The 26,975-nt window shown below is 50.5% G+C and overlaps 1 protein-coding gene and 1 long non-coding RNA gene across 12 annotated transcripts in view, besides 6 other annotated features; one reads left to right on the top strand and one right to left on the bottom strand.

The window, feature by feature from the left end:
* The window catches only part of MXRA7 (matrix remodeling associated 7), a 38,415-nt gene extending 19,681 nt beyond the window's left edge, over positions 1 to 18,734 (top strand). For 2 of the 11 annotated variants that reach the window (NR_130926.2, NM_198530.4), the window contains exons 2-4: positions 3,109 to 3,172; positions 6,120 to 6,213; positions 10,406 to 11,719. Coding sequence is in view for 8 of the 11 variants with exons in the window: in NM_198530.4 (NP_940932.2) it covers positions 3,109 to 3,172; positions 6,120 to 6,213; positions 10,406 to 10,418 (171 nt within the window). In the remaining 3 variants the exon portion in view is untranslated. Of the gene's footprint in view, positions 1 to 2,571; positions 3,173 to 6,119; positions 6,214 to 7,357; positions 7,439 to 10,405; positions 11,720 to 13,582 lie in introns of those variants that run through there. The other 9 variants (NR_130927.2, NM_001008529.3, NR_130928.2 and 6 more) reach the window with 9 other exon arrangements.
* Positions 3,894 to 4,689: an enhancer, noted in NCBI's record as "H3K4me1 hESC enhancer chr17:74682678-74683473 (GRCh37/hg19 assembly coordinates)". NCBI's record gives its function as "activates a minimal SCP1, AML or CMV promoter by ChIP-STARR-seq in naive H9 embryonic stem cells {active_cell/tissue: H9 hESC(naive)}" and the evidence as "EXISTENCE:reporter gene assay evidence [ECO:0000049][PMID:30033119]".
* Positions 6,672 to 7,216: an enhancer, noted in NCBI's record as "H3K4me1 hESC enhancer chr17:74680151-74680695 (GRCh37/hg19 assembly coordinates)". NCBI's record gives its function as "activates a minimal SCP1, AML or CMV promoter by ChIP-STARR-seq in naive H9 embryonic stem cells {active_cell/tissue: H9 hESC(naive)}" and the evidence as "EXISTENCE:reporter gene assay evidence [ECO:0000049][PMID:30033119]".
* Positions 8,310 to 8,856: an enhancer, noted in NCBI's record as "H3K4me1 hESC enhancer chr17:74678511-74679057 (GRCh37/hg19 assembly coordinates)". NCBI's record gives its function as "activates a minimal SCP1, AML or CMV promoter by ChIP-STARR-seq in naive H9 embryonic stem cells {active_cell/tissue: H9 hESC(naive)}" and the evidence as "EXISTENCE:reporter gene assay evidence [ECO:0000049][PMID:30033119]".
* Positions 17,627 to 19,357, bottom strand: LOC105274304 (uncharacterized). The gene has a single exon (NR_130916.1). It is a non-coding gene; the product is annotated as an uncharacterized LOC105274304 (long non-coding RNA).
* Positions 19,526 to 19,585: an enhancer, noted in NCBI's record as "active region_12813". NCBI's record gives its function as "activates an Ori minimal core promoter by ATAC-STARR-seq in GM12878 lymphoblastoid cells {active_cell/tissue: GM12878}" and the evidence as "EXISTENCE:reporter gene assay evidence [ECO:0000049][PMID:35858748]".
* Positions 19,526 to 20,512: a biological region, named in NCBI's record as "H3K27ac-H3K4me1 hESC enhancer GRCh37_chr17:74666855-74667812".
* Positions 19,555 to 20,512: an enhancer, noted in NCBI's record as "H3K27ac-H3K4me1 hESC enhancer chr17:74666855-74667812 (GRCh37/hg19 assembly coordinates)". NCBI's record gives its function as "activates a minimal SCP1, AML or CMV promoter by ChIP-STARR-seq in naive H9 embryonic stem cells {active_cell/tissue: H9 hESC(naive)}" and the evidence as "EXISTENCE:reporter gene assay evidence [ECO:0000049][PMID:30033119]".

Raw genomic sequence — 26,975 nt, 5'->3', positions numbered from 1 at the left:
ATGCAGGAGCTTCCGTCCCCATGGAGTTGGGGTACGCTACCCCCTGCGCACGGGAATGCATTCAGCAGCCTGGAAGCTCTCCAAACCCTATCGGGATGTTGACGGAGGCCTCATCACATAGGCGTCATCGATTCTTAACTCAATCTCCAGCTCCTCTCCAGTCTCTGGAGGAAGCTGGGGGGTGGTGGGGCTGAAAGTTCCAAGCTCCTCATTGCAGCTTGATCTCTCTGGTGATCAGCCCACCCAGGAGTTACCTCATTAGAACAAAAGACACTCCTGTCACCCGGGAAATTCCAACGGACTTAGGAGCTCTGTGCCAGGGACTGGGATCAAAACCAAATGTTAGAACAAAACATGCTGCTAGCACCCCTGTAACTTAGGAAATTCAAGGGACTTAGGAGCTCAGTGTCAGGGCTGGGCATGGTGGCATGCACCTGTGATCCCAGCTATTCCAGAGGCTGAGGCAGGAGGATCGCTTGAGCCCTGGAGGTCAAGACTGCAGTGAGCCGTGATTGCACCACTGCACTCCAGTCTGGGCAACAGAGCAAGATCCTGTCTCAAAAAACAAACAAAATAAAAACTGTGTCAAGAACTGGGGGCCGAAACCAAATATATATATATTTAGGATGTTACATTCTTTCTACTTTTTTTTTTCCAAGTGATCCTTCTGCCTCAGCCTTCTAAGTAGGTGGGATCACAGGTGCGTGCCACCATGCACAGCTAATTTTTAAATTTTCAGTAGAGGCGAGGTGTGCACTATGTTGCCAGGCTGGTCTTGAACTTCTGGGCTCAAGCAGCCCTCCCACCTCAGCCTCCCAAAGTGCTGAGATTGCAGGCATGAGCCACCACACCTGGCCTCTTACTTTTTTTTTCTTTTTTAGAATATATAAGAAAATAAATAAAGAAAAAATGGGGTCTTTGGATCTGACTGTCCAAAGACACCATTAGCATTTAAAAAATATATTTAGTCATTCATGCATATTAATGGAAAGTCCAAATTATACTGAACTCTATAAGACGGAAAGGAAAAGCTGCCCCCCAAGCTCCTTTCCCAAGAGGTAGCCACTGCTGACAGTTTCTCGTGGGCCCTTCCAAAAAACAAACCTTTTCTCTGCATTTTCGAGCACATGCGTGCATTTCCACTTTGCCATTTACAGCAAGATGACTGCGCTGCTCACGTGGGGCTGCTGCTTGCATTTTTCCCTCGATTTATCTTGATGTACTTTTCATGTCAGCACCTATCAACGCCTCCTTTTTTTTTTTTTTTCTTTTTTTAAGATGCAGTCTTGCTGTGTCACTAGGCTGGAGTGCAATGGCGCAATCTTGGCTTACTGCAACCTCCACCTCCCGGGTTCAAGCGATTCTCCTGCCTCAACCTCCTGAGTAGCTGGGATTAAAGGCACCTGCCACAACACTCGGCTAATTTTTTTTTGTATTTTTAGTAGAGACGGGGTTTTGCCATGTTGGCCAGGCTGGTCTCGAATTCCCAACCTCAGCTGATCCACCCACCTAGGCCTCCCAAAATTCTGGGATTACAGGCGTGAGCGACCGCACCCGGTCCCCAGTTCTGTCTTTTCAACTGCACGCGGTCAGAGTCATTATATAAAAATCCTGATGGACATTTCTCCAGTCTGGAGCAGATCCCTAGAAGTGGGTTTGCTGTGTCAAATGGAGCGGCTCCTCTTCCTGCCCCCGGAAGAGGCCTGCCCACTCCGACCTCAGCCATAGAGATACTTTGCTGTGCAAAATTTGGGAAACGTCAGGACACACAGGCACCACTTCGCCATAGATAGCACTAAGTCTGTGTGTACAAAGTGCCCAACAGGGAAGACGCTGTGTTGCCTGCGCAGCTCCCCCCAGGCAGCATTTTGTGTAGTCAAGGAAGTCCCTCAGGCCAGGCACAGTGGCTCACTCCTGTAATCCCAACACTCTGGGAGGCCGAGGCAGGCGGATCACCTGAGGTCAGGGGTTCGAGACCAGCCCGGCCAACATGGTGACATGCCATCTCTACTGAAAACACAAAAAAATTAGCTGGGCTTGGGTGGCGGGCGCCCGTAATCCCAGCTACTCGGGAGGCTGAGGCAGGAGAATCGCTTAAACCCAGGAGGCAGACGTTGCAGTGAGCCGAGATCGCGCCACTGCACGCCAGCCTGGGCAACAAGAGCCAAAACTCTGTCTCAGAAACACACTCAGAAAAAAACAGAAACCAAACAAACAAAAAGTCACTCAGAGGAGCTCAAGGCCCCTCTGGGTTTGCCACTTCCGACCCGCTGTGGGGCTTGTAAAAACTTTGCCTCCCGGCACAGCTCAGTGTTTTGTTAGGGAGCCTCCCGTGAGCGGCCGACGCTGGCTGGGCTCCATGGGATCAGCTGGGGCTGCTCATTCATTCATTTCCACATCTACCCACTGGGCTTCCAAGTTGAAGTTCCTGGGGCTCCCATGTCCCCTCCCCATGACCTTCAATCCCACAGAGCCCATGGGCACGGCACGTCGCTCTCATCCTCTGACATTCCTGCAAGCTGAAGTCACTTCTTCCTTCCACCAAGGCCATCCCGGGCCATTCCTCTGATCATCTGTTTATTGTGTCTCTGTGTGGGAGAGAACTGGCTGAAGAGGTGGGGCTCCAGTTTTGGGAACATGGACACTGAGAGAGTTGGGGATGGAAAACAACATAGAAGGAAGCAAAGCCAGAGGCTGCGATGGCCATGCTGCCTGGCCCTGGTCCCAGACAGACACCCCAGCCAGCTTTCCTCTTGCACCCTTTGTCTGCTGGCCGCAGCGTCGCAGTGGGAGTCCTGGGCCCACTTCTCCAAATGGCACACAGAAGCCTCAACAGGCACCCACCTGGGAAAGGCCAAGGCCGAGGGCTTGGGGTGCACAGTCAAGAACACGCCTCAGCTCAGCATTTGTGAGCCGAGTCACTTTGGCCCATCGTTTGTACACAGCCCCCACCTGCTGGTTGACCATGACCACAGGGCAGGCGCTGCCACAGGGCGTGGGCAGGCTGGACCTTCGAGGGCCTCCTCTGTCTCCCCTACCTTCTGCCCCCCCACCACTTCCCATCACCCAGTCTGTGCCAAGGGCACTGACCCTGTCCTTGTCTTGCAGGAAGAGGAGCAGGACTTGGATGGTGAGAAGGGGCCATCATCGGAAGGGCCTGAGGAGGAGGACGGTGAGTGGGACCTCTGCGCTCATGAGGGGGCCTGACAGTGTCGGGGGTGGTCTGTGTCCTGCTGGGGATCACAGGAGCTGGGGTTCGAGTGCCGAGGGGAGGGATGGGGTGGGACAGTGGCCTGAGTGGGGCATGAGAGGTAGAGTCTGGCGCCATGGATGTCCTGCCCTGGCCTGCCTGTAGCCCTCCCTCACCCCCATTGCACTTTGGGGCTTGGCTTTCCCATCCCGGGGCCCCTCTTGGGAACACACTACACGCCCTGCCTGGCTCTGTCCTGCGCTGCCTCCTAACTCCCCTTTTGTGACCGCGCTGTACATTTCACGATTCTCTCCAAACATCTCTGACCTATTTTACTGAGACGAAAACCACTCACACGGCCTCCCCCGTGCCTTCTTCAGAACGAAGGCCCCAGGAGGGCACACGCCTGCTTTCTAAGCAGCTCTGGCTGACTGGCCACAGGCCCCAGCCATGAGACTGAGAGGAGAAAGGGAGTGACCGAGAACAGGGGAGACACTGCCAGATCGGACCCGGCCAGGACAGACAGAGGCGGAACCAAACATGGAGTGGCTTCTGCTGGGTCCATCCACTTATTTCTCTAAAAAAGAAAGCGGAGGCAGACATGCAAGATGTCAGCGTTTGTTGGCTCTGTGTGGCAAGCACAGGGAGGATTAGTGCTTTCTGCATTTTTGTATGTTTGAAATATTTCATAATTTTAAAAAAGCAAGTCTGCTTTTGTGATGTTAAGTCGGCTGCTGGCAGGAGCAGTGGAAAGAGAAGGTTTCAGGAATGTAGGAACCAGCTCCTGCGGGCAGGCTGGGCTGGGGTGCAGAGCTTCCCCTGAGGCAGTGCCTTGGTTTCCATCAGCACAGCCTGAAGCAGGAGGGGAGAATGAAGCTTGGGTGCAGGCGGTGGGCTGCAGGTGGGGACATTAGTCCCTTACCAGGAAGGACCCTTGCTCCCTGCTTTTGGGGACTGGGGACTCACCGCAGCCATGGCCCTGGCATCTGTCCCTGCCATGTGGCCTGAGACAGCTGAAGGGATGCAGGGATCCTGTTAGTGACTTGGGGACACGGGAGGGAGGCCCTTTGGCAAGGACAAGGAGAGAGGCTCGCAGACCCCTCTCCCTGGCATAGCTGCCAGAGGGCACAGTCCCCCAGCACTGTCACCAGCCTCCCCCCTTATCTGCACCGCTGCTCCTGAACATCCCCCACCCCCAGCGCCTCCTGCCATCTTAGCCTCCTGCCATCTCTAGCAAGGCAGGGAAAGGAAAGGTTTATGGCTCCAGCTGTTGGAAGAATGTGTGAGCACCTCCAGCCCCTCTGCAGTACGAGGCAGCCTCAGAGGTTAATTATTAGTGTCGCTAAAATGACTTCCCTGAGCGACTAGGTGAATTCACAGGAGACTGGAGGAAGAAACCTCCCCCGTCCCTCGGAGGCTGTCACGTTGAATTCTGGTCTAGCAAAACTGGATGCGCTGCCTGGTGCACTGCATGTGACTGAGCGAAATCCTTTTCAAGTCGTTTGTTCTGTCTGGCTCAGAAAACAAAACTAATCAGACTTGCCCCATAAATTGAAACCTAAGACTGGGACCAAGGCAGGATTTTGTATGTTTTCTTTTTTTGGGGGGTAGGGGGATACTGGAATCTTACTCTATTGCCCAGGCTGGAGTACAGTGGCGCGATCTCGGCTCACTGCAACCTCTGCCTCCCGGGTTCAAGCGATTCTCCTGCCTCAGCCTCCTGAGTAGCTGGGATTACAGGCGCCTGCCACCACGCCCGGCTAATTTTTTGTATTTTTAGTAGAGACGGGGTTTTGCCACATTGGCCAGGTTGGTCTCGAACTCCTGGCCTCAAGTGATCCACCTGCCTTGGCCTCCCAAGGTGCTGGGATTACAGGCATGAGCCACCACACCCAACCAGATGTTTGGGTTCTGAATTCGCATCTAGAACCTTCTTCCTTTCACCCTGAGAGCCCCCCCGCCTCCCCATCGGTCCACATCAGCCTATCCGGTAGCATGAAGGCTGCAAGCTAGAGGGGAGGGGCCTGGCTTTTCGGGCTGCTGGACAGGATATGGAGGGACAGAGAGGGCAGCACTTCCAGAATAGCAGCTGAGGATCTCTCTATGCCTCCCTCACTGGGTCCTTTAGTTAGTGGAGGTCGATAAGAGGCCAGCCAGCTCTGCCCGACACCTGCTGGATTCAGGAACCAAGAGGTTGCTCCCCCATGGGGCTTTTCCCTCTGGAAGCTCAGCTTTTCTCTCCTCACCGTGGCTCATGTGCCCGGAGCCTGTGTCCACTCCAGGCCACAGGTCCTGGCTTCCTCTGTGCCCACCACCTACCCATCCATGTGCCCTCTTCAGGCCTCGAGATCTGTCCGTTTTTTGCAGGCAGCAATGGGGGGTCTCCCCTCGGGGACTGGCAAATCGGGCTCTGCCTCTTCAGCGGTACACACGTCAAACCTGCTGCAGCAAATCCCGCATCCCTGGCCTGGCCACTGTGGGCTGCCTGGATGCGTGTTTTCAGATTTCCAATAGCCACAGGGGGTGGGGGGATGACACAAGCCTCCCCAAGCCCAGGCAGGCGTGGTGTGTGTCCCAAGATGAGCTGTGCTCTGCTTGCCGGAGTTGTCGCCTCTGAGCTCAGTAGCCGAGAGGACCTGCTGGGCAGGGCCAGGGCAAGGCAGAGCACTGCAGATGTTGGGAGGGATGTGGCATCTGGAGACAGCTGTGGACTAGGAGTAGGACTGCTTTCTCTCTGGCTGTCTCGTTGTAGGATTTAAGGGAAAGCTATGGAACGAGAGGGGGTATAGGCGCTGGGGTGAGATGTCTCTGATAGCCAGATGTGGCCTCTGCTTGAGGTGTTTCTTTTTAAACCTAGGGAAAGGGGGCCGGGGTTTGTGGGGCCAGCCTCTACAGCACTCCTGGCACTTACTGGGTCCCCCCTCCACAGGAGAAGGCTTCTCCTTCAAATACAGCCCCGGGAAGCTGAGGGGAAACCAGTACAAGAAGATGATGACCAAAGAGGAGCTGGAGGAGGAGCAGAGGTAGGCTGCAGCCCCTTCGCTGGCGCCTGGCGGGCTCTTGGGGGAGGGGGGTGCCCCTCTGAGCCCTTCATGTTCCTGCCCCTTGGCAGAAGGGCCCAGAAAGGAGGTGGGGCTCCTACACGCTCTGCCCAACCACCGCCCCACCTTCCCAGTTTAGGAGTTCTTTCCTGCCCTGGTCAGCCAGGCTCGCACACCCCTGGCACCCCTCCCTGGCACTGACCAGAAGGAGGCCACTGGTGATGGGGGATACAGAGCCCATTTACTGCACCCCCCCACCCCCTCCACACCCCACTGCCCCCATCTAAAGAAATGAGATGCCAGGAAAGAGCCTGGAGCAGACCTGGCTGTCACTCACACACACAGTCCCCAACAGAGCTGATTTCTCCATTTCTCCTTCGGGACACAGCGGATTCTTGGTGCTCATCCTTCAGCGGCCTCCCAGGCCGGCGCCTGCAGCAGCGCCTTGTAGCTCCGGGCAGTGCAGCTATGGCTTCTCGTTGTTGGAATTGGCTCCCCCTTCCCATTTGGACACCCCCTGCACAGCCACTGGGCACCCCGCCACCTTTTCCCTCCACACCATCCTGCTGGGCGGGGAAGGGGTGCGCTGGGCACAGTGGGACAGCTGGGGAGGTCTCAGCAGAGGGACAGTCCTTTGCACCAGGCGCAGCAGGCTCCTGGTGCTCACCCACACTGCTGCCCTTCTGCAGCGTGGCCTGGAGTCCTTTGGTTAAAGCAGAAGTCTAGGTGGTAGCTGTGCCATTTTCCAAGCCTGGCGACCCAGAGCAGCTTGTGGGAATCACCCCCTACTTGTCAGCAGAAACCAGCGGTCTAGGGTCCGAGCAGGAGGGGTGGTTTATGATTTTGGAATCAGAACTCAACTGCCCTCTCATGGCTGCATGCCAAGCCACCCGCCGGGCAGCCCTCTAACCTCACAGCTGCTCTGCCGGTGACAGGCCCTGTCTCCCCTCCCGCTGCTGGCATCAGCGCTCTCGACCCTCAGCAGGAAAGCTCTTCACCCTGGGTGGGTGGGGGGCGGGCAGTGTAAGCACAGCCAGGAGGAAGAGCCCTGGCAGGAGCCCCGAGTCCTCAGGTGCTGAGGATGCTGCCGCTTGGCATGACCAGGTTTGCTGCATTTATATTTCAGGATTGAGCTGACCTCTGACCTCACTTCCCTGTAGCAAGTTCCTTAGGTCCTGAGCCACAAATATTCTTGCAAATCCTTTTGGTAAGGACACTGATTTCTTAGACTAGTGGTGCTCCCCTTCTACTGCGTGCTAACGTGCCCCCAAACAACTGACGCGGCCTCAACCTCCCCTCCTCCATCGCCTTCATAACCGATTAATACATTTCCCACCTGAGCCCTTCTCATTCTTCTCAAGCACGAGGAATCTCTGGCAGAAGAGGCCCCGTCTGGGGGCAGAGGTTCCTGGAGGGGAGTTAAGTCCCTGAGTTCCTGGAGGGGGCCTAATGGGCCGGCAGGTTGGGGTGCTAGCGCCCCCTCGCAAGGCTGGGGGAACTGTCACCCTGGGACCTCAGGCTTCGGAAATGTGGATGTCGTCACCCTGCAGCCTTGGGTCTCACCCTGAGAAGATGAGGCAGCTTCTGCACAGTGCACAGCAGATACTCTGAGAACGGTCCGTGCTCCCAAGCTGTGAGACAGGCAGGTTCTTAGGATCAGGGCAAGGGTTAGCAGACAACGGCCGGGCCACATCTGATCCCCCACCTGCCTGTGCCAATCCAGCGTGGCAGTAGTAGCAACACTCACCCATTTTCCTGTGGTCTGTGCCTCTTTGTGCCGCAGTGGCCGAGGTGAGTCACTGCAGCAGAGACCACACAGCCCCCCAAATCTAAGTAGTATCTGGCTGTTTGCAGAAAAAGGTTGCAGTCCCTGGACAGAGGCTAGAGGGGGCTGGACACAACTGCCAGCCCTTGAAGGTCCCTGGGGACAGAGGCTGCTCAGGCAGATGGATCTGGAGGGCCTCTTAGAACAAGAAAGACCAGGCCTCCGGCTGGGGGTGAAACTGCCACTGCCACCCACGTCCAGAGCTGGGACCTTGGCAGTGGGGAGGGAAAATCCCTTCCCCTTATTTTCAGAGAGTAGACCCTCTGCTGCCCATCCTTCCCCCACTGGATCTTTGGAGGTCTCTAGACCACCAACCCACACTTGGCTGTTCTGTGGGACCGAGACTGTGCCCGAGGTGCTGCTCCTGGGACGAGGGAAGACTCCTCGACTCCTCTGCATGCTGCAGTTACCACTTTGTGCCCTGAATTGAGAAGGAGGGGCCGGAGGACTTCTTGGGGCAGGACTGGAGTTCACGTTCATTCCCATCACTGCCCAGCCCGCATGCTCCCTGTGGCTCCTAGGCATGCCGGTGGCATCTGCTTGCTCCCCCACACCTCTGCCCCCCTGCATGTGGTTGCCCCTCGCAGCACTGCGTGGGGTCTCCGCGGCTCCACATCACGCTGTCCTCACACGGTGATGCTTGGGGTTGCAGAGGCTGGTCAGTTTGGCTTTGGCTCTTCATCTTCAGCACGATGGTTCTCATGGGGGTGGGGAGCGCTGGCAGCTGTGAGACAGTTCTGGTCCCAGCCAAGTCCAGGGAACCGCCCTAGAATCATCAGTATGAAAAATAACATGCCTGTTGTTATCAAACCACTAAAACCACAGGCCAGCTAGCAGGGTGCTCTCTCTCCGCCTGTCAGGTTCCACCCTCCCGGCCTCCATGCCTCTGATGCCTTTCCCAGCTCTCAGGGTCCAGTCGAGTTGCAGCTACAAGCTGCACGTCCCCTAACTTTAAATTTACTAGCTCAGCCAACAGATCTGCATCTAGAACCTGAAGCTTTAGTGGTTGCCAGTTCCAGCACTCCCCAGGAGCTTCAGTTCACAGGCTCTCATGACAATTAGGAAGTGGGACTGGAAGCAGAAGGCCCCCAATTAGTTCCCCGACATGCTGAAGTGGTCAGTCTCATCCTTGAACTACTCACAGATCAAATTCCTTCCGCCTGGGGCCAGAAAGCGGTCAGGTCTGTAAATCCAGAGGCAGCTGCTGCTTAAGATCCTGCTTGCCACTGTCTGCCCGCCTCCTCAGCTCTCCCCTCGGGCCGGAGTTTCACACACTTCATGCCTCTGGTGGCGTCCCTGGGTTCCGCTGAAGCTGCTGTGGGAAGTGCCACCTCCAGTTTCACAGTGTGGCTAGGACAGTGGGCTTGCAGGCTGGTGACAGCTCCCCTGAGCAAGAGGCCTCCTCCTCCTCCCCCAGAGCTAGGGAAGCTGGCAGGGCTTGGCTGGCTTCACAGCTTGGCAGGAGAAAGAACAGGCGCGGCTGTCAGCTCCTCTCCATCACTTCTTCCCACCTTGTGGTCTCAGAGGGAAAATGAACCCAGGCTATAGACTGGGCTGGCTCTGATAGATCAGGACCCACCCCTCCATTTGAGGTCTGCAGGGCTGTCTTGACTCCTCTGGAAATGGACATGACTCTAGAGGAAGGTGCTAGTGTGGTAAAACAGGGAAGGGGAGGAGGAGGCCAAGGAACCCCAGCTGTGGGGTAGTTCTGGTTCTTCCATCTGATGTATGCAAGAAACTACAGACAATAGACCTGCCAGTGTGAATTTCCAGCTCAGGCTGGAAATGCGTGCTGACTGTGACCACCAGGAGAGGGCGTCAGAGGGACAAGATCAGACCTGCTGGGTTCTCAGTGGTCCCAGGGCTGGCAGTGTGTCTTGGTTCATAAAAGACGGGCATGCAGTTGGCTCCATCTGGAAGCGTGCATCCTAGGGTGCCAGTATCCCCCGAGGGGACAAAACTCAGCCAGCGGGAATGGGAAATTATCTAGGGTGATAGGAATATTGTCAGCACAACCACACAACCCAAGATCAGAAAGGCCCTTGGCAACTCAAATGCCCAAGTTCCTTCCTTAAGTACCCTGCAGAGGCTGAACAGGGTCTGTGGGCTGCCAGGTTCTGTGCGGGATCAAGGGGAGCTCTGCAAGCTCTGGCCGGCTTGGCGGCACAGACTGTCTTGCTGCAAGCGATGAGAAGCAAATCAGCAGTGGTTTGAGAAACCAGAGTCTAGCGCAGCTTCTGCAATTCCAAACATTCTCCTTCCTCGTCCCCATTTCCCCCTTTCCTTGCCCATGGTGCAGGATGGAATGAGTAAAATAAATTATCTTTTTCTCCCCATTTCTCTTTACAGAACTGAAGAATAACGAAGTTATCCTTAGCGTCCTCCTAAAGGCTTTTCCTTTTGGCATCTTAAAAGCTTGAGAGATAAAACGGAAACCCCAGAGAGGAGTCTGGGCAGGCTCCCAGGGTGCATGCTGCCTCCATAAATCTGCTGAGCTCTAGACCCTCAATCAGGACTTGTCCCTTGGCTAGCAGGATCCTGGGAACACCTTTGGCCCTGCCCTGTGTAGAGATGTTCATGTCTGTTCCTGTGGGTCACTTTGTTAAGCTGAAGAGTTTTAAGAGGTAGAGCTCAGACCCTGGACTGGGATTTTTCTTACCACTCAAACTTGCTATCCACACACCCTGCACACCTTAGATAAAAAGAACATTTTAAAAGCAGAGTTCACTTTCACTCCAGTCTCCCCTCTTTTGCCCTCACTGAAGCCAAACCACAGAAGACTTTGAGGAATGAGAGACAAATGAGGTAGAGCTCACCTGTGCTCACCAGCTCCGTCAGGGTGGTCAGCCGACCCCTTTCCCTGGGAACCCCACTTCTCTCTGTGGCTGGCTTGGTTGTCGGGGGTGAGATGCCATATTGATTACAGGGCAGCAAAGAACCAGTACCAGGAATTTACTTGACCATTCCCCTTATTTTTCATCTAGAGGAATCTCGGATTCAGCCCTTTCATTGCTAAGACACCTTTTCACTGAGGTTCTTACCAGCTCAGCCAAATCTCCACTCTGCTATAGCAGAAGCAATAATGTTTGCTTTAAAAAGATTTCTTGACCTATGCCTTTTCTTAGAAAGTTTGATAGATTAGTTAGAACTTCAGATCATCAGATCAGTCTCAAATGGGTTTCTTGGAATTTTATATTTGACAATATTTATACTATACCAAACTCATTTGCAGTTCTTAGGTTTGTTGGTTAAAACATTTTTTTAAAGCAGTAAGTTTATAGAAAATGTTTTCATTTAATGGAAGGCTGGGGAATGTCCAGCATCAACCCCTATGGCATGCATTCCCAGGGGCCTTCTCATCTGGGCCTGGAACCTTTGGTTCAGGGCTTAGGGGAGAACAGGCCACATGGCAACAGCCACACAGTCATTGCCTTCAACACAGAGCCACGTGTCCCCAAACAGCAATAGTCATGCCCTTGTCCAGGCTGGGATCTAATTGACACAATAGGTCGTTGACTCCCTCCTAGTAGAGCTATCTAGGTTTGTCTGGAAAGTTTCCGACCCTGGCTTATAGGCACCACACCTCATGTACTCCTCATGGCTTGGATCTCTGTATTCAGCCTTTGTTCAGTCCAATAAACTTTGAGTAGATGATCTCAATTACTGTGTGTTTTTTCAGTTTGCTTTGTTTTAAAACAAAATCCCTTTTGAACCCATTGAAGTTTGACCTTTCTTTCATTTTGATGCCTCTTACTCTGCAGCAGAGTACAAAGCCATACATCCACCCTGTTAAAAAATATGCAGTCACCATGGCTGTCAAAACCACATGACATGATCTGTGTTCACTCAGGGACATATGGATTGTGCTTCCATCCACAGAGCTCAGCACATCCTTTCTGTTCACGGGAATTCCTCTTCTTCTTCTTTTTTTTTTTTTTTTTGAGACAGGGCCTCCCTCTGTTGCCCAAGCTGGAGTGCAGTGGTGCAATCACAGCTCACTGTGGCCTGGACCTCGTGGGCTTAAGTGATCCTCCCGTCTCAGCCTCCCAGGTAGCTGGGACTACAGGTGCTCACCACCACACCTGGCTAATTGTTTTATAGAGACAGAGTCTGACTATGTTGCTCAGGCTGGTCTTGAACTCCTGGGCTCAAGTGATCTTCCCATCTTGGCCTCCTAAAGTTCTAGGATTACAGGCATGAGCCACTGCACCTGACCCTCTTTCTTCTTACAGGAGGGCACAAAGCACACATCATAGGCTGCTGCTTCACCAGACAGGGGAACCGACTGTAGACACAGCTTTCCCAGGGGACAAGGGAGGCTGGGAAGTGGGACTTCAGTATTTCAACTACTAGATGCTGCTCTAGACAGAAAATTTTGCAGGATGGAAGATGCGGGGCTGAGGAGAGGAGGGAAGGGTGAAGCAAAGGAATATGGTAGCAAAAGTATGGGAGCGAACGTGGAGACCACCCCTCCAGGCAGTGTGGGGGATGCCAGTGGCCCAGGGCTATGCTGAGGTCCTGCGGTTGCAGAGCCTGTAACGTGCTTACAGCCGACCCAGCTGCAGAGCAGGGCTGAGAGGTCCGACACTGTGATGTGGTTTACGTTCTCTGAAGGCACTGAGCCCGTGGTGTGTGGGGGGCAGGAACTGCAGAAACCAGAAGAGTGAGATGCAGCCAGGATGCAGTGCCCGGCTGGGCTGAGGAGCACAGGGCACCAGAGTGGAGCAAACAACAAACATATGGCTCCCTGGGTTCGGCAGCCGCCTCGCCCCACCTGAGGTGTTTGTGCTGCAGAAGTTGTCCTGTGCTGGTCAGATGGTGTAGCTGAGCCTCATAAAGATAACAAGACATTGCTCCCAGCACAGAACCCGCGTGGAGCAAACATTTAGGCCAGTCTTCCTCCACACCCATCCCTTGATAAAAGGGGCAGGGCCGCCACCTGCCATAGGGTATCTTGTGCAAATTAGGAAAAGGCACCCCCCTTTCTCTGGCCAGTGAAACCCCACAGGCTTCCCTCCCCGCTCCTTTGCCAAGCACCGTCTTGCACACACTTGTATGCTCCCTGATTTCCCAGCTGATAATGTTTTTTCTTTCTCCACTTTCGGCTCATTCCTCTCAACGAAGGCTGTTTCTAACCTACTTCTTCATAGCACTACCTCAAGCTGCTTCATGGAGCCTATCTTCTTCCTCATTACATCACTGTGGGACATGCAGTCAACAATCAAATGAGGCCCAAAGGGAAACTGAGGCACAGAGCACCTAAGTGATACCTGGGGTCCCCAAACCTCCCCGGCAAACCTGAGATTTCGCATCCCAGTTTTTAGAGCCCTCAAAAGTTGCGTGTGTCAGACCCAACCAGCTCCGATGTTCTAAGTGGGTTTTATTTTCATTTTCTTCTTGTTCTGAAAAGCAACCGCAGTCACACAAGAGAGAGGAGAGTCCCAACTCCGCCGGCTGCACACAGGCTCCCTCTCTCCCCAGTGGGCTAGGAGCACCTTCTTCCTCTTTGTCCTTTCTTCTCGACAGAGTTCAGAAGGAACAGCTGGCTGCCATCTTCAAGCTCATGAAAGACAACAAGGAGACGTTTGGCGAGATGTCCGACGGCGACGTGCAGGAGCAGCTCCGGCTCTACGACATGTAGACTGCGCCCACGGGATGCACAGCGGCCATGCCTGATGCTGTCCCCACCCTTGCCCCATGCCCTTGTTCTTTCCAGACTTCTGTAGGCCTAATTTTCCCTTATAAACATAGATGCAGGCGTACATTCTATAGGTACTTGCCGAGTTCTTGCAGTGTGTATATTACTTTGCAGGAATCAAAATTGTTTTATTCAGAAGACAAAGTCCCTGACCCCTCTGGTTTCTGCTTGCTGGTGAGGTTCCAGCTGTTATTGGGCTCTGAGGCCCTCTCCTGATCCAAATCTTTTTTTGTTTGTTTGAGATGGAGTCTCACTCTGTCTCCCAGGCTGGAGTGCAGTGGCGTGATCTTGGCTCACTGCAACCTCCACCTCCCTGATTCAAGCGACTCTCCTGCCTCAGCCTCCCGAGTAGCTGGGATTGCAGGCATGCACCATCACACCTGGCTAATTTTGTATTTTCAGTAGAGACAGCGTTTTGCCATGCTGGCCAGGCTCGTCTCGAACTCCTGACCTCAGGTGATCCGCCCACCTTGGCCTCCCAAAGTGCTGGGATTACACGCGTGAGCCACCATGCCCGGCCAATACTACACTCTTATTCTGCCTTACGAGGATTTCTGGAAGCTTCTGTAACTGTAGGGAAGAAAGCTGTAGGGGAGCATGGTTTTTTTGTTTTGTTTTTGTTTTTGAGACGAGGTCTCACTGTCACCCAGGCTGGAGTGCAGTGGTGCCATCATGACTCACTGCAGCCTTGACCTCCCAGGCGCACAAAATCCTCCTCTCAGCCTGAGTAACTGGGACTACAGGTGTGTACCACTACATCCAGCTAAAGGAGAGCGTTTTTTTCTTTTTCTTTTTGAGACAGAGTCTCACTCTGGCGCCTGGTCACTGTGCCCTTCACCTTCTGGGTTCAAGTGATTCTCCTGCCTCAGCCTCCCTAGTAGCTGGGATTACAGGCATGCACCACCATACCCAGCTAATTTCTGTATTTTTAGTAGAGATGGAGTTTCACCATGTTGGCCAGGCTGGTCTCGAACTCCTGACCTCAGGTGATCCACCTGCCTCGGCCTCCCAAAGTGCTAGGATTACAGGCGTGAGCCACCATGCCCAGCTGGGAGCGTTCTTTCAGCAAAAAGTCTAATTCAGAGACTCACCTTCCATCCTGGCACTAAACAATAGTACTAGAGGTAAGATCTGCCAAGAATTTCTCTCACTTAAGCAGGATACTTACTTTAAATATAATTAGGCAAGACTTATTTGAGTACTTGCCTAATTGTATTTAATTAGAACTATGCTGGATGCTGTAGACAGAAGAAATAAAATACTCAACTTGGTCCCTATCTTCCAGCAGGTTAGAGGCCTTTAGGGAAGAAAAGCCTGTGTGCAGGGAAAGAGAACCTCACCAGAAAGTATTCAATAAAATGCCAAAGTGATCTTACAGAACAGTGCCTGTGACACCGGAGGGGATTGTTCTGTCTTTGTGAGTGAACATACAATGATGGGGATAACTGGTCCTCATACCATGCAGGTCCCATTTCTGATCACCCCACTGGCAGGACAATTCACAGTTCTTGAGCAAACTGAGTTAGGGAGGGTATGCTAACGACAGAACCTATGCAAGTTCTTAGAAATATTTTTTGTTTGCTGAAATAAAGCTCAATCAACACACTACCTTAAAAAAAAAGTGGAGCAGTGGCATTTCCATGCCTCATGCTCACCATCATGAGGTTAACTTCCCGCCGTCGCCTCTTGCCTGCCAGGGGTTTTTCGGGAGCCCCTCTCTGTTCCACTCTGATTCCTTTTGTTTCTTGCTGACCATTCACTCTCTGTGTCTGTTGTTGGATCCAAATACGAGTGTTTTTCTTTCTTTTTGTGGTCAGTGCTTTTTTCCTTCTTGAAATTGTTTTAATGTGTTTTGTCAAAAGCATTTAACCATGTTATGATTTAAGAATTCTCTGTTCACTTGAGGTCAGGAGTTCAAGACCAGCCTGGCCAATATGGCAAAACCCTGTCTCTACTACAAATACAAAAATTAGCCAGGCGTGGTAGCGCACGCCTGTAATCCCAGCTACTCAGGAGACTGAGGCAGGAGAATCGCTTGAACTCAGAAGGCGGAGGTTCCAGTGAGCCATCGCGCCACTGCACTCTAGCCTGGGTGACAGAGCAAGACTCTGTCTCAAAAAAAAAAAAAAAAAAAAAAAAAAATTATTTGTTCTGTCTCAGGTCTTAGGGACCCCTTACCTCAGCTAATGTCTCTGTCCCCTAAATGCACATCGGTGGGCAGGGCAAACCCGTAGGTGCCCTTATCCCTCCCAAGGCTGCACTGCAAAGCTCCTGTGTTTCCATTGCCCACTTTCTTCTCCCTCTCCTTTCTTTTCTGATTATACCAAACAGGAATGACTCGTGTACTTGAGTCAAAATCCTGATGGCATTGGGAAAAGTAAACTGAAGGAATTTTTGTACACTTGTACCAGCTAAGATGTTCTGACTGCAACGACAGAAAACTCCAGCTCAACTGGCTTAAACAAGAACAGGGCTCTCTCACGTGAGAAGCCAAGAGTTAGAACAACTCCAGGCCCAGAATGGTCGGAGCTCAAGCTGCAGTTCTCTTAGCTCAGTCTTCCTCGTACTGTGGGCTTTTATTGGAGACTAGCTCTCCTCATGGTGGCAAGATGGCTGCAGGAGTTCAGGTATCTCATCCAGAAGCAAGAAAAGGGCATGTCTTGCTTGCGTCTCTAGGCGTAAGGGAACTGGTCCAGATGTCCCCGCCCCACATCCCTTCAGATCCCAATTGGCCAGAATATGGCACGTGCCCATGTTTCAACCAATCATGGGCAAGGACATGGGACCAGCATGATTGGCCTAGACCCCTGGAGCCTGGGGCTGGGCCCAGCATCCCCTGAATACATGGCCATCTGGAGGAGAAGGTAACTGAATTTCACTGGGGATCTGTGATAAAAGGGAGCATGGGTGTTGGGGAGACACCTGTTCCAGTTGGGTTTCCTATGAGGTCCAGGACAGGGCTTGGTGGGCACTCGGAAGCCAGTGTCTGAAGTGCTCAGCATCCTCCTCTTCCTCGGTGGTGGGTGTCCACCGCCCAGGCCCCACCCCTGGCCTTGGACACTTCATGGAAACACTGCTGATTTGCTGTGGTGTTGGGTGGCTCCTATCTATTCCCCGTAAGTGCTGGCCTCTGTTGACACCATTTCTGCTACCTCATCTGAGATTGTTCTCATCAGCTCACAGAGATTCATTTCAGTGAATGAACCAAATCTAAGCTAAAAAGCATAAAGGAGGGCAGAAAGAAACAGCAGTGTGGGAGAAAGAGCGCAAACACCGAGAGAAAGATGTCTACCTGGCAGCCATGTCAGAGAATCACCAGTATGTATGTCACTGCCACCAAGAACCTAAGAGCCACAGAGGCCTACAGAAGCCAATCCCAATGGAACTCTCTCTGGGTGTGGGGGTTGAGAGAACCTAAAGCATTCAGCTGCACAGAGCCTCTTTCCAGCGATGGGAACCAGTCTCAAAGCCTTTACATCTCTCCCCTGCCCTCCATCACTGCTGAGAACCCTGCCCCAGGCTGGCCTGCCTACATGACACAAATAGCAGTGGACTGTCACTCATCAGTATCTGCAGTTCTGTTTACCAAAGCCTGCTTGCTAGAGACGTTTCAGGGCCTCCTTCCCTCAAAGCGTCCACTGTACCTCCATCTGGATACAATTAGCTGGCTCCCCACTTCCTGGACTGACGGTAACCACCTTTTCCAATGACCCTGAAGAAAACATGCAATCTAAGCTGCTTTAAGAGTAACCTACAACTGAGGACAAATTTTCTATCAACTCCCAGTACCCCTCTCTGCCGTGGCTGATTTGTTACTGGTTTTCCTTTTTTTTTTTTAATTTGAAAATGTAAGTAATTATACTAAGACCAGATCACTCTGAGATTGTTTTATTCTAATTTGTCCTAAGGACCTGCCTGTACTTAGAGCCTGATAGAAAGCCCAAGTTGATCTACTGGGCAGCTCTCTGGGCCTGGAAGGAAGAGCACACAACAAGACTTCAACAGTGAGCCTGGCTAGGTCCAGGCAGACCATGATTTCTGAAAGCAACAGTATAGTCCACATGGAATCAGGCTGCTGATGAACAGCAGCGAGAGGCTGCCTCTGAATCATATCTGCAGGGTCACCTGCGCCTGGTGGAGGCCCACAGTCATCCATTAGGCCCCAGTATCCTATGTGGGAGTATCCACGTCTAGTCTCTACTTCTCACTGCAGGAGAGGTGGCAGATGAGGAGGTTTCCTACTTTAAAGAAAGTAGAAGTTGTTTCCTTTCTTCCCTCCTCACAGCCTTGAGGGGGAGGTTGTGCCCAGCCTGACAGCAGCTGCCTTGCCCAAGATTACATCCTGTTCTGGGGGCAGCCCACCTCCAAACCAAGTCACTAGTGGGGTACAAAGGCCTGCCCTCTCTGCCAAAAGGCAGGTGCTGATGGACCATTCCAGTTCTAGAGTTCCCAAAGAGACGTCTTTTTGGAGAGCGGCAGGGTACCAGAAATCCTTCACTCAGGCTATAGCATGGCCACCAATTATAAGTAACTTGAGGCCCACCCAGCCAAACATGCCTTTCCGGGTCTAGTGCTGGGTTCCAGAACAGGAAGCCTGGCAGATTCCTACTGCCACAGATTCTTTTTACTATTATTATTGTCACCTTATTTTTCTTTTGGTGGAACCCCTCTAGGGCTTCCACCGGATTCTCCACCATTTACGCTATCAATTTTATCAGTTTTGGTTTTATCGTTTCAGTGCTTCTTTTTGCTAACGGTAGCAGCCAATATACATCATCTCTGGAGACAAATCACGCCATAGAAAATATTGTAGTTTTCCTCATTTTTCTTAACGCCACAGAGTCAGCTGGGCTGTAGTACCAGCCCGGATGTACCAGTTTACTCAGCCACTCCCCCTCTCATGGACATCTGCATGGTTTCCAGTCTTGCAAATTCATACAGTGCCACTACAAATAAAACCTTGCGCGTATGCTGTTTTCATATTTGTGCAAGTTTACTTTCAGAGTAGATTCTAGAGGTGGATTGCGGGTCAAAGGTAAATTTGCACTCCCTCCCAACAATGCAGGACAGATCAGGTTCCTGTATTGTCCTTAACAGCGTACCTCGCTTGTTAAACTTTTGGATTTTTGACAATCTGATGGATCAGAAGCCTTAGCTCAGTGAGGTTTTCGTTTGCATTCTTCTGATTATGAAAAAGGCTGAGCACCCACTTAAATGTTTAGGGGCCCCTTGCATTTTTTTTTCCTGTAAACTGTCCATTCATGTCTTGTCCCATTTTCTACTGAATACCATCCATTAAATCTCCGCTTTAGCTGAGTTGCGCACATTTCCGACGATCTTCGCGGTAATTTGGGCTCAGCGCGGTAGTTTTCCAACCCTGACCCTGCACGGGGAGGGGGTGCCTTAACTAAGGTAACGAAAAGGAATCTGGGTCATTCCAGGGAAAGCCTACTAAAATCAGGAGGCTTTGTGAGAGCCAAAATACTAACTTTCAAAAAAGCGAAAATACTCCCAAAACTCACCGGCAGCGGTTTTACTTAGGCGTTAATTTTAGCTACTGTGCCCGTTTTATCTACTGTAGGGACCAACGCACGGAGAAAACCACCCACCCGCGAAGTGAACCAATCACTGCCATAGCGCCGGTATCCCTCTGCGGCATTTCAGTGGTTCAAGCACCTGCCAATCTGCCGCGAAGCCAAAGGCCTTGATCCCCATTGGGTATCGCATCCTTCCATCTTCCCCACCTCAAGCCCGCCCCACGCCGAGGGTGGAAAGCCCCGGATGTCCGGCCACACTCAAGATCTATTTCCCTCAGTGATTGACAAAGGCCATCGTCCAATGAGAATGCGGCCCAGCCCGGCCTGGGATTACAGGCGTGAGCCACCGTGCCGGGCCTGGGGGAGCATTTCATGAGCTCCACGAACGGTCCTTGGGCACCAAGCTGGGCCCGGGAATACCAAGATGAGCTGAAACCAGTCCCTGCCCTCTGGGACACCTGTGTCTCCACCTTCCTCCCCCTGACGCTCCCAGGCTTGCCCTCGAGCAGCAGATTCAGAGGGTGGCCCAGGGTTTCAGGGGGTTTCAGACGGCGGTACTGCAGCTGGCGCCAAGACACACACACACACACACACACACACCCTTGCTTTTCACATTCCCTATTGTCCCAGGCCTAAGGTAAAACCAGCAGTTCCGTACACACCCAGCTTCACATCTCACCGTGGTGTCTGGTACTGGGCTGACAGTCACACCTTCCCTCACCTGTGCTTGCCCTTTCAAGTCCTGCCCCAGGCACCTCAGCTGGGCTTTACCAGAGCACGTAGAGTGCAGGCTGAGTGCGCGTGAAATGGGTTGGACTTACCACTCGGCTGAATGATCACATTCCTTTTCTGCACCCAGTCGTGGCCCCCTGCAGGCTCCACACCGCGGGGAGTGGCCCCACCAACCTGGACTCTTCGGGCCTGATGGCGGCCTGAGTCCTCTACAAGTGAAAATTCCTCAGACCACGGTTGCTGAACCGTGTTAAATAACTCAGTCTGCAATCAGCGTTTTTGAAAATCTCCCTTTTCTCATTCTTTTCAGTACTTTAATTACTTTTTGTGGCTCTTACTAAGATGGGACAGGCTATGCTCACAGGCTGTCAGACGCTCAGCTCCTTCAATGGTTTATCACATTCACCTCGGGACTGCCACAGGTGGTGTCTTTGGTTCTCTTTGTACTCAGCTTCAATGATACTGCAAGTTAAATTTCAGAAGAGGAGGCAGCTGGCAAGGGGAATAAAATTAAGAAAATTGTTCCAGGAAGAAAAGGTTCAATGAGAGAAATGGGAGAAAGGGGGCAAAGCACAGAGGATTCAGATTTGAATATTGAATGTTGTGAATTGGTCCATTTACTCTCAGACATTTATTGAGCCTGTCTTCATGCAAAACACTATGGTAGGTGACGTAATGCAGAACGAACTCCACTTGGTTTCTACTTGCAAGGCAAGGTGACAGGAAGTTTTGATAACTTTTTGGAGTGCATGCCAAGTGCCCTGCAGAGCACTGTGCTGTGTGCCTTGCAAATAAATGTTCTCATTAATCACTGCTCTATGAAGGCTGTAACATTCTTTTACAGATGAAGAAAACAAAACTCAAAACATTGAATAAGACTCAATAAATAAGCAAAAGATCTAAATAGACATTTTCCCAGAAAAGATACACAAATAACCTATAAGCACATGAAAAGATGCTCAACATGTCAATCAAATGCAAATCAAAAACTGCAACAACAAGACACCGCTTTACATCACGAGGATGGCTATAATAAAAAAGACAGATAATAACAAGTGGTGGGGAAGTGGAGGAATTGGAACCCTCACACACTCTTCATGGAAATGCAAAATGGTGCAGCTGCTTTGGAAAACTGGCAGTTTCTCCCAATATTAAAGTGATACCAAATGACGCAGCGATTCCGTTCTTAGGTGTATAACCGAAAGAATATGTACGTACTCTTAGGCATATGCCTATGAAAACATATGTCCACGTAAAAACTTGTACATGGATGCTTGGAGCAGCATTATTCATGATAGCCAAAAAGCGGAAATAATAGCTAAAAGGTGGTCAGGTGCAGTGGTTCACGCCTGTCATCCCAGCACTTTGGGAGGCCAAGGTGGGCAGATCACCTGAGGTAAGGAGTTCAAGACCAGCCTGGCCAACGTGATGAAACTCCTTCTCTACTAAAAAAATACAAAAATACAAAAATAAAAATAAAACTAGCTGGGCGTGATGGTATGCCCGTAATCCCAGCCACTGCAGAGACTGAAGCAGGAGAATCACTTGAACCCAGGAGGCAGAGGTTGCAGTGAGCCAAAATTGCGCCGCCGCACTCCAGCCTGGGTGACAGATGGAGGCTCTGTCTCAAAAAAAAAAAAGCTAAAAGGTGGAAAGAACATCCATCAACTGGATGCATGGATAAACAAAATGTGATCTATCCACATCACGGAATATTCAACAGTAACAAGGAATGAAGTACTGATACATTCTGCAACTTGGATGAACTCTGAAAACATCACGCTAAGTGACAGAAGTCAGACACAAAGACCACATAGTGTATGATTCCATTTACATGAAATGTCCAGGATAGCCAAATCTATAGAGACAGAAAGTAGATTTATGGTTGCCAGAGGCTGGGGGTGGGGAGGAGGGAAGAGAAGTGACTGCTGATGGGTACAGGGGTTTTTGGTGGGGGAGGACACGTAATGAAAATGTTCTAAAATGATTAGTGATGGTTGCACAACTCTGAATGTACAAAAAGCCATTGAATTGTATGCTTTAAATAGATGAATTGTATGGTATGTTAATTATATCTCAATAAAGCATGTATATACCTATGTATATATATATAGCATTGAAGATAAAAGATCCCAGTCAGAATGGCACCATGAGCACATATTGTGGTCTCTCCTTGGGACTTTTTGTTTTTGTTTTGAAATAGAGTCTCGCTCTGTCACCCAGGCTGGAGTGCAGTGGTGTGATCTCCCCTCACTGCAACCTCCGCCTCCCGGGTTCAAGCGATTCTCCAGCCTCAGCCTCCTTGGTAGCTGGGATTACAGGCACGTGCCACCACACCCGGCTAATTTTTGTATTTTTTGTAGAGACAGGGTTTCACTGTGTTGGCCAGGCTGGTCTCAAACTCCTGACCTCAAGTGATCCTTCTGCCTTCACCTCCCAAAGTGCTAGGATTACAGGCATGAGTCATCATACCCAGCCCCCTTTGGCCTTTTGAGAGGAATTTTATTTATTTTTTCATTTGTAACCATTAGAGAAAAGAAAGTATAATGATACCAACTAATGTTTATTGTTCGCTGTGTCTAGCTCTGGGATAAAAACTTTTATGTTCTTTTTTTTTTTTTGAGATGAAGTCTCTCTCTGTCGCCCAGGCTGGAGTGCAGTGGTGCAATCTTGGCTCACTGCAACCTCTGCCTTCCAGGATTCAAACAATTTTCATGCATCCTCTTCCCAAATAGCTGGGATTACAGGCATGCCTGGCTAATTTTTGTATTTTTAGTAGAAACAGGGTTTCACCATGTTGGCCAGGCTGGTCTCGAACTCCTGCCCTCAAGTGATCTGTCCACCTCTGCCTCCCAAAGTGTTGGGATTACAGGCGTGAGCCACAGCGCCCAGCTTAGAACTTTATGTTCTATGCAATTTAGTCCTTGTGAGAAACATGATACGTGGCAGGTTGAGTCTCCAGGAAGCCAATGGAGGTGGAGGTCGGCACGTAAGAGGTTTGTTAGGGGTGCTCCCAGGTCAAGACCTGCAGGAGGAGGAGGAAAGGGAGAGGACTCAGCGCAGGGAGGAGGGAGAGCTGTGATGCAGTCTCAGTAGAGGCTGAGCAGACACTGTGGGGAGTAGTTGTGAAGCTACTCTCCCCAGTGAAGTAGCACCCCCACCCCCATACATGATGACAGTGGAGGCTTTTTGACGGCAGCAGCACTCCAAGAACTGGGGGAAAGATCCTTAAAGATCCTTCATTCCTAATGAGAGATAAGGGTAGCACAGCAAAGTATCCACTATGATTATTAGTGCTGGCATCTGCCTTTTTTTTTTTTTTTGTAGGCAGGACCTTGTTCTACCGCCCAGGCTACAGTTCAGTGGCGTCATCACAGCTCACGGCAGCCTCAGTCTCCTTGGCTCAAGTCATTCTCCCACCTCGGCCTCCCAAAGTGCTGCGATTACAGTTATGAACCACCACACCCGACCTCTGCATTTTACAGGTGAGAAAATCCAAGCACAGAGAAGCTAAGTAACTAGCCCAACTTAGTGAATAAGAAGCAGGAGGCATTCAAATCCACTCTGCCTGGTGCAGAACTGGGGGCTCTTAGCTTTGAGGCTGTACTGCTTCCACCCTGAGGAGTCCTTGAGAGGCATGAAGAAGGGAACCCCTGTCCAGGCATACTGAAGAGGACTGCCCCCTCCACGGGGGCTGCACAGCTGGGAGTGAGGGGTCCCTGGAGCATGGCCCGGTTGGGACAACTGCCCACTTCCTAGAGGTATCAGGCCAGTGGATCCTCCACAACCCACAAGGCTTTGGACATGCCAAAAAGCAAGCAGCCCTCATCTTACGCTCAGCGACATAAACCAGACACAAGAGGACAGATATTCTGTGATTCCACTCATACAAGGTATCTAGACTGGACAAATTCATACAGACAGAAAGTTAAAGGGTGATTGTCAGGGGTTGAGAGGAGGGGAAACTGGAGAGTTATTATCCTTTTTTTTTTTTTTTTTTTGAGACACAGTCTTGCTCTGTTGCCCAGGCTGGAGTGCAGTGGTGTGATCTCGGTTCACTGCAATCCCCGCCTCCCGCGTTCAAGCCATTCTCGTGCCTCAAGCTCCAGAGTAGCTGGGATTCCAGGCACGTGCCAACACGCCTGGCTAATTTTTGTATTTTTAGTAGAGATGGGGTTTCAACATGTTGGCCAGGCTGGTCTCAAATTCCTGACTTCAAGTGATCCATCCACCTCGGCCTCCCAAAGTGCTGGGATTACAGGCATGAGCCACCGCACCTGGCCTGGAGAGTTATTGTCTAATGGCTACAGAGTTTCAGTTGGGGAAGATGAAAAAGTTCTGGAGATGGATGGTGGCAATGGTTGCACAACAATGTGAATGTATGTTAGCCACTGAAGGAATTAAGGATGATCAACCTGAAAATATGCAGATTGGGGCCAGGTGCAGGGCTCATGCCTGTAATCCCAAGACTTTGGGAGGCTGAAGTGGTAGGATTACTTGAGCCCAGGAGTTCAAAACCAGCCTGAGCAATAGAGGGACCCCAAATCTACAAAAAAAAATTTTTTTTTAAATTAGCTGAGCGTGGTGGCGCGTGCTTGTAGTGTCAGCTACCTGGGAAGGCTGAAGTGGAAGGATTGCTTGAGCCCAGGAGGACACAGCTGCAGTGAGCCATGATCAGTTGCACTCCAGCTTGAGTGACAGAGCGAGACCCTGTCTCAAAAAAGAAAAATGCAGATTTAGTAAATTGATTATTTCAGGTTGAAGGCATTTGAGAAACTGCAGTTGCAGTTTATCACAACGGGAAAAAAAAATTATACACACACAAGAATGTCTAGGTTTTGTTTACCTGGGTGTTTTATTTTCTATTTTAAATTGCAGAGAAAGAAAAGAACATAGCAAAGGGTATGAAAATTCATTGAAGCAAGTGGTCAATAAATATGAAAAAAGATGCTCAACCTCAGTAATCAGACAAATGCAAATGAAAGCAATAATCTTTTAAAAAAATTCTTAAACTACCAGAGCACCAAAATATTGAAAGGTTGATAATGTCATATTTTGTCAAGGGTATAGGGAAAGTCATATTACACTCTGCTAATAGTAATATGATATAATTATTAAAATTGTATTAACTTTAATAAATGGTCAAGCAATTTTATATAATTTATTAAAATGTAAACAAGATACGCTATGATGGAATAATCCTACATATATCTGCCCTAGAGAAACATTTTGGAGTCCACGGAAATATGTCCAGGGATGTTTACAACAACATCTGTGTGATAAGAAAAATTGGGAACAGCCTAACTTACAGGCTATTATGCAGCAGTTAGCAGCAGTTAAAAGGGATGAAGCCATGCTACCTACCTACAAGGAAAGATCCTTAAGACACATGGTCGGCCGGGCGCAATGGCTCATGCTTGTAATCCCAGCACTATGGGAGGCCGAGGTGGGCAGATCCAAAGGTCAGGAGTTTGAGAGCAGCCTAGCTAACATGGTGAAACCCCATCTCTACTAAAAATACAAAAATTAGCTGGGTGTGGTGGCGGGTGCCTGTAAGTCCAGCTACTCAGGAGGCTGAGGCAGGAGAATCTCTTGAACCCAGGAGACGGAGGTTGCAGTGAGCTGAGATCGTGCCACTGCACCCCAGCCTGGGCGACAGAGCAAGACTCTGTCTCAAAAAAAAAAAAAGAAAAGAAAAGAAAAAGAAAAAAGACACATGGTTAAGTAAAACAAGCAATTGCACAGCAGTGGTGTAATATGATCTCATTTATGTTACACCCTCATAAATATTACCTAGAGAGTTCTATAGAGAGGGGTATATAACATACTACTAACAGTGGGGTTGAAATGGTTGCCAAGAAAGGCTCTCCCCTCCGCCCTTAAAGACAAGTGTGATAGTAAAGAAAGACTTTAAACTTTGGGAGGCCATATTGGTCTCTCCGTTCCTCAGTTTACCGCAACAAAAGTGGGAGGATTGATTGAATCCATGAGTTTGAGACCAGCCTCAGCAACATGGTGAGACTCGTCTCTACAGAAAAATCAGAAGGCCAGATTCAGTAGCTCATGCCTGTAATCCCAGCACTTTGGGAGGCTGAGATGGGAGTATCACTTGAGCTCAGGAGCTCAAAAACAGCCTGGGTAACATAGCAAGACCTTATCTCTATACGAATAAATAAATAAATAAATAAATAAAGTAAAAATTAAAGAAAAATTTAAAAATTAGCCAGGTGTGGTGGTGCACACCTATAGTCTCAGCTACTCAGGGGGCTGAGGTGCGAGAATCCCTTGAGCCCAGGAGGTTGAGGCTGCAGTGAGCCCTGTTTGCACTACTGCACTCCAGCTTGGGAAACAGAATAAGACCCTGTCTCAAAAAGAAGAAAAAGAAAGAAGAAAGAAAAGAAAAGAAAGGAGGGAAGGAGGGAGAGAAGGAAAAGGCTTTAGCTTTATCTCTAATGTTTGAACTTTTTGCCCTGAGAATATAAATCCTGTCTTCCTTCAGTCATCAAAATAAACAAATTTCAAGGGTACCGTGTCCTCTCCCCCTACCCTGGAATGTGTCCTGACTCTTCCACTCCACACTGGCGCATAAGGAGGTATAAAATGACCCTCTCCTGTTGGAGGCCTTGGAGATAGTCGGTTCTGTTCCACCATGATTCCATCCAGGCTACCTTCAGGGAAAGTTTTGACAACTTTGGGCTATCAGTACCCTACATAGGTTAGTGATGGGGTCCTCACTGTCAGAGGGTGATCCAGCTTCAAATCCCATGTTAGAGTCTGTTTGTTAGGACCACTCCTGGGACTGATTGCCTGAGCTTGAGTCACCTGGAAACAGGTCCTATGGAGATTTGTGCACAAGCAGTTTAGTGGGGCATGCACTTGGGAACGACACTTGCAAGTGTAAGAAACCAGAATATTATGCCCCAAAATATGCCACTGTGGCATAAAAATTATT

This window comes from Homo sapiens, chromosome 17 (assembly GCF_000001405.40).
Source record: "Homo sapiens chromosome 17, GRCh38.p14 Primary Assembly".
Classification (NCBI taxonomy): domain Eukaryota; kingdom Metazoa; phylum Chordata; class Mammalia; order Primates; family Hominidae; genus Homo; species Homo sapiens.
This window is presented reverse-complemented; position numbering and strand designations above follow the sequence as displayed.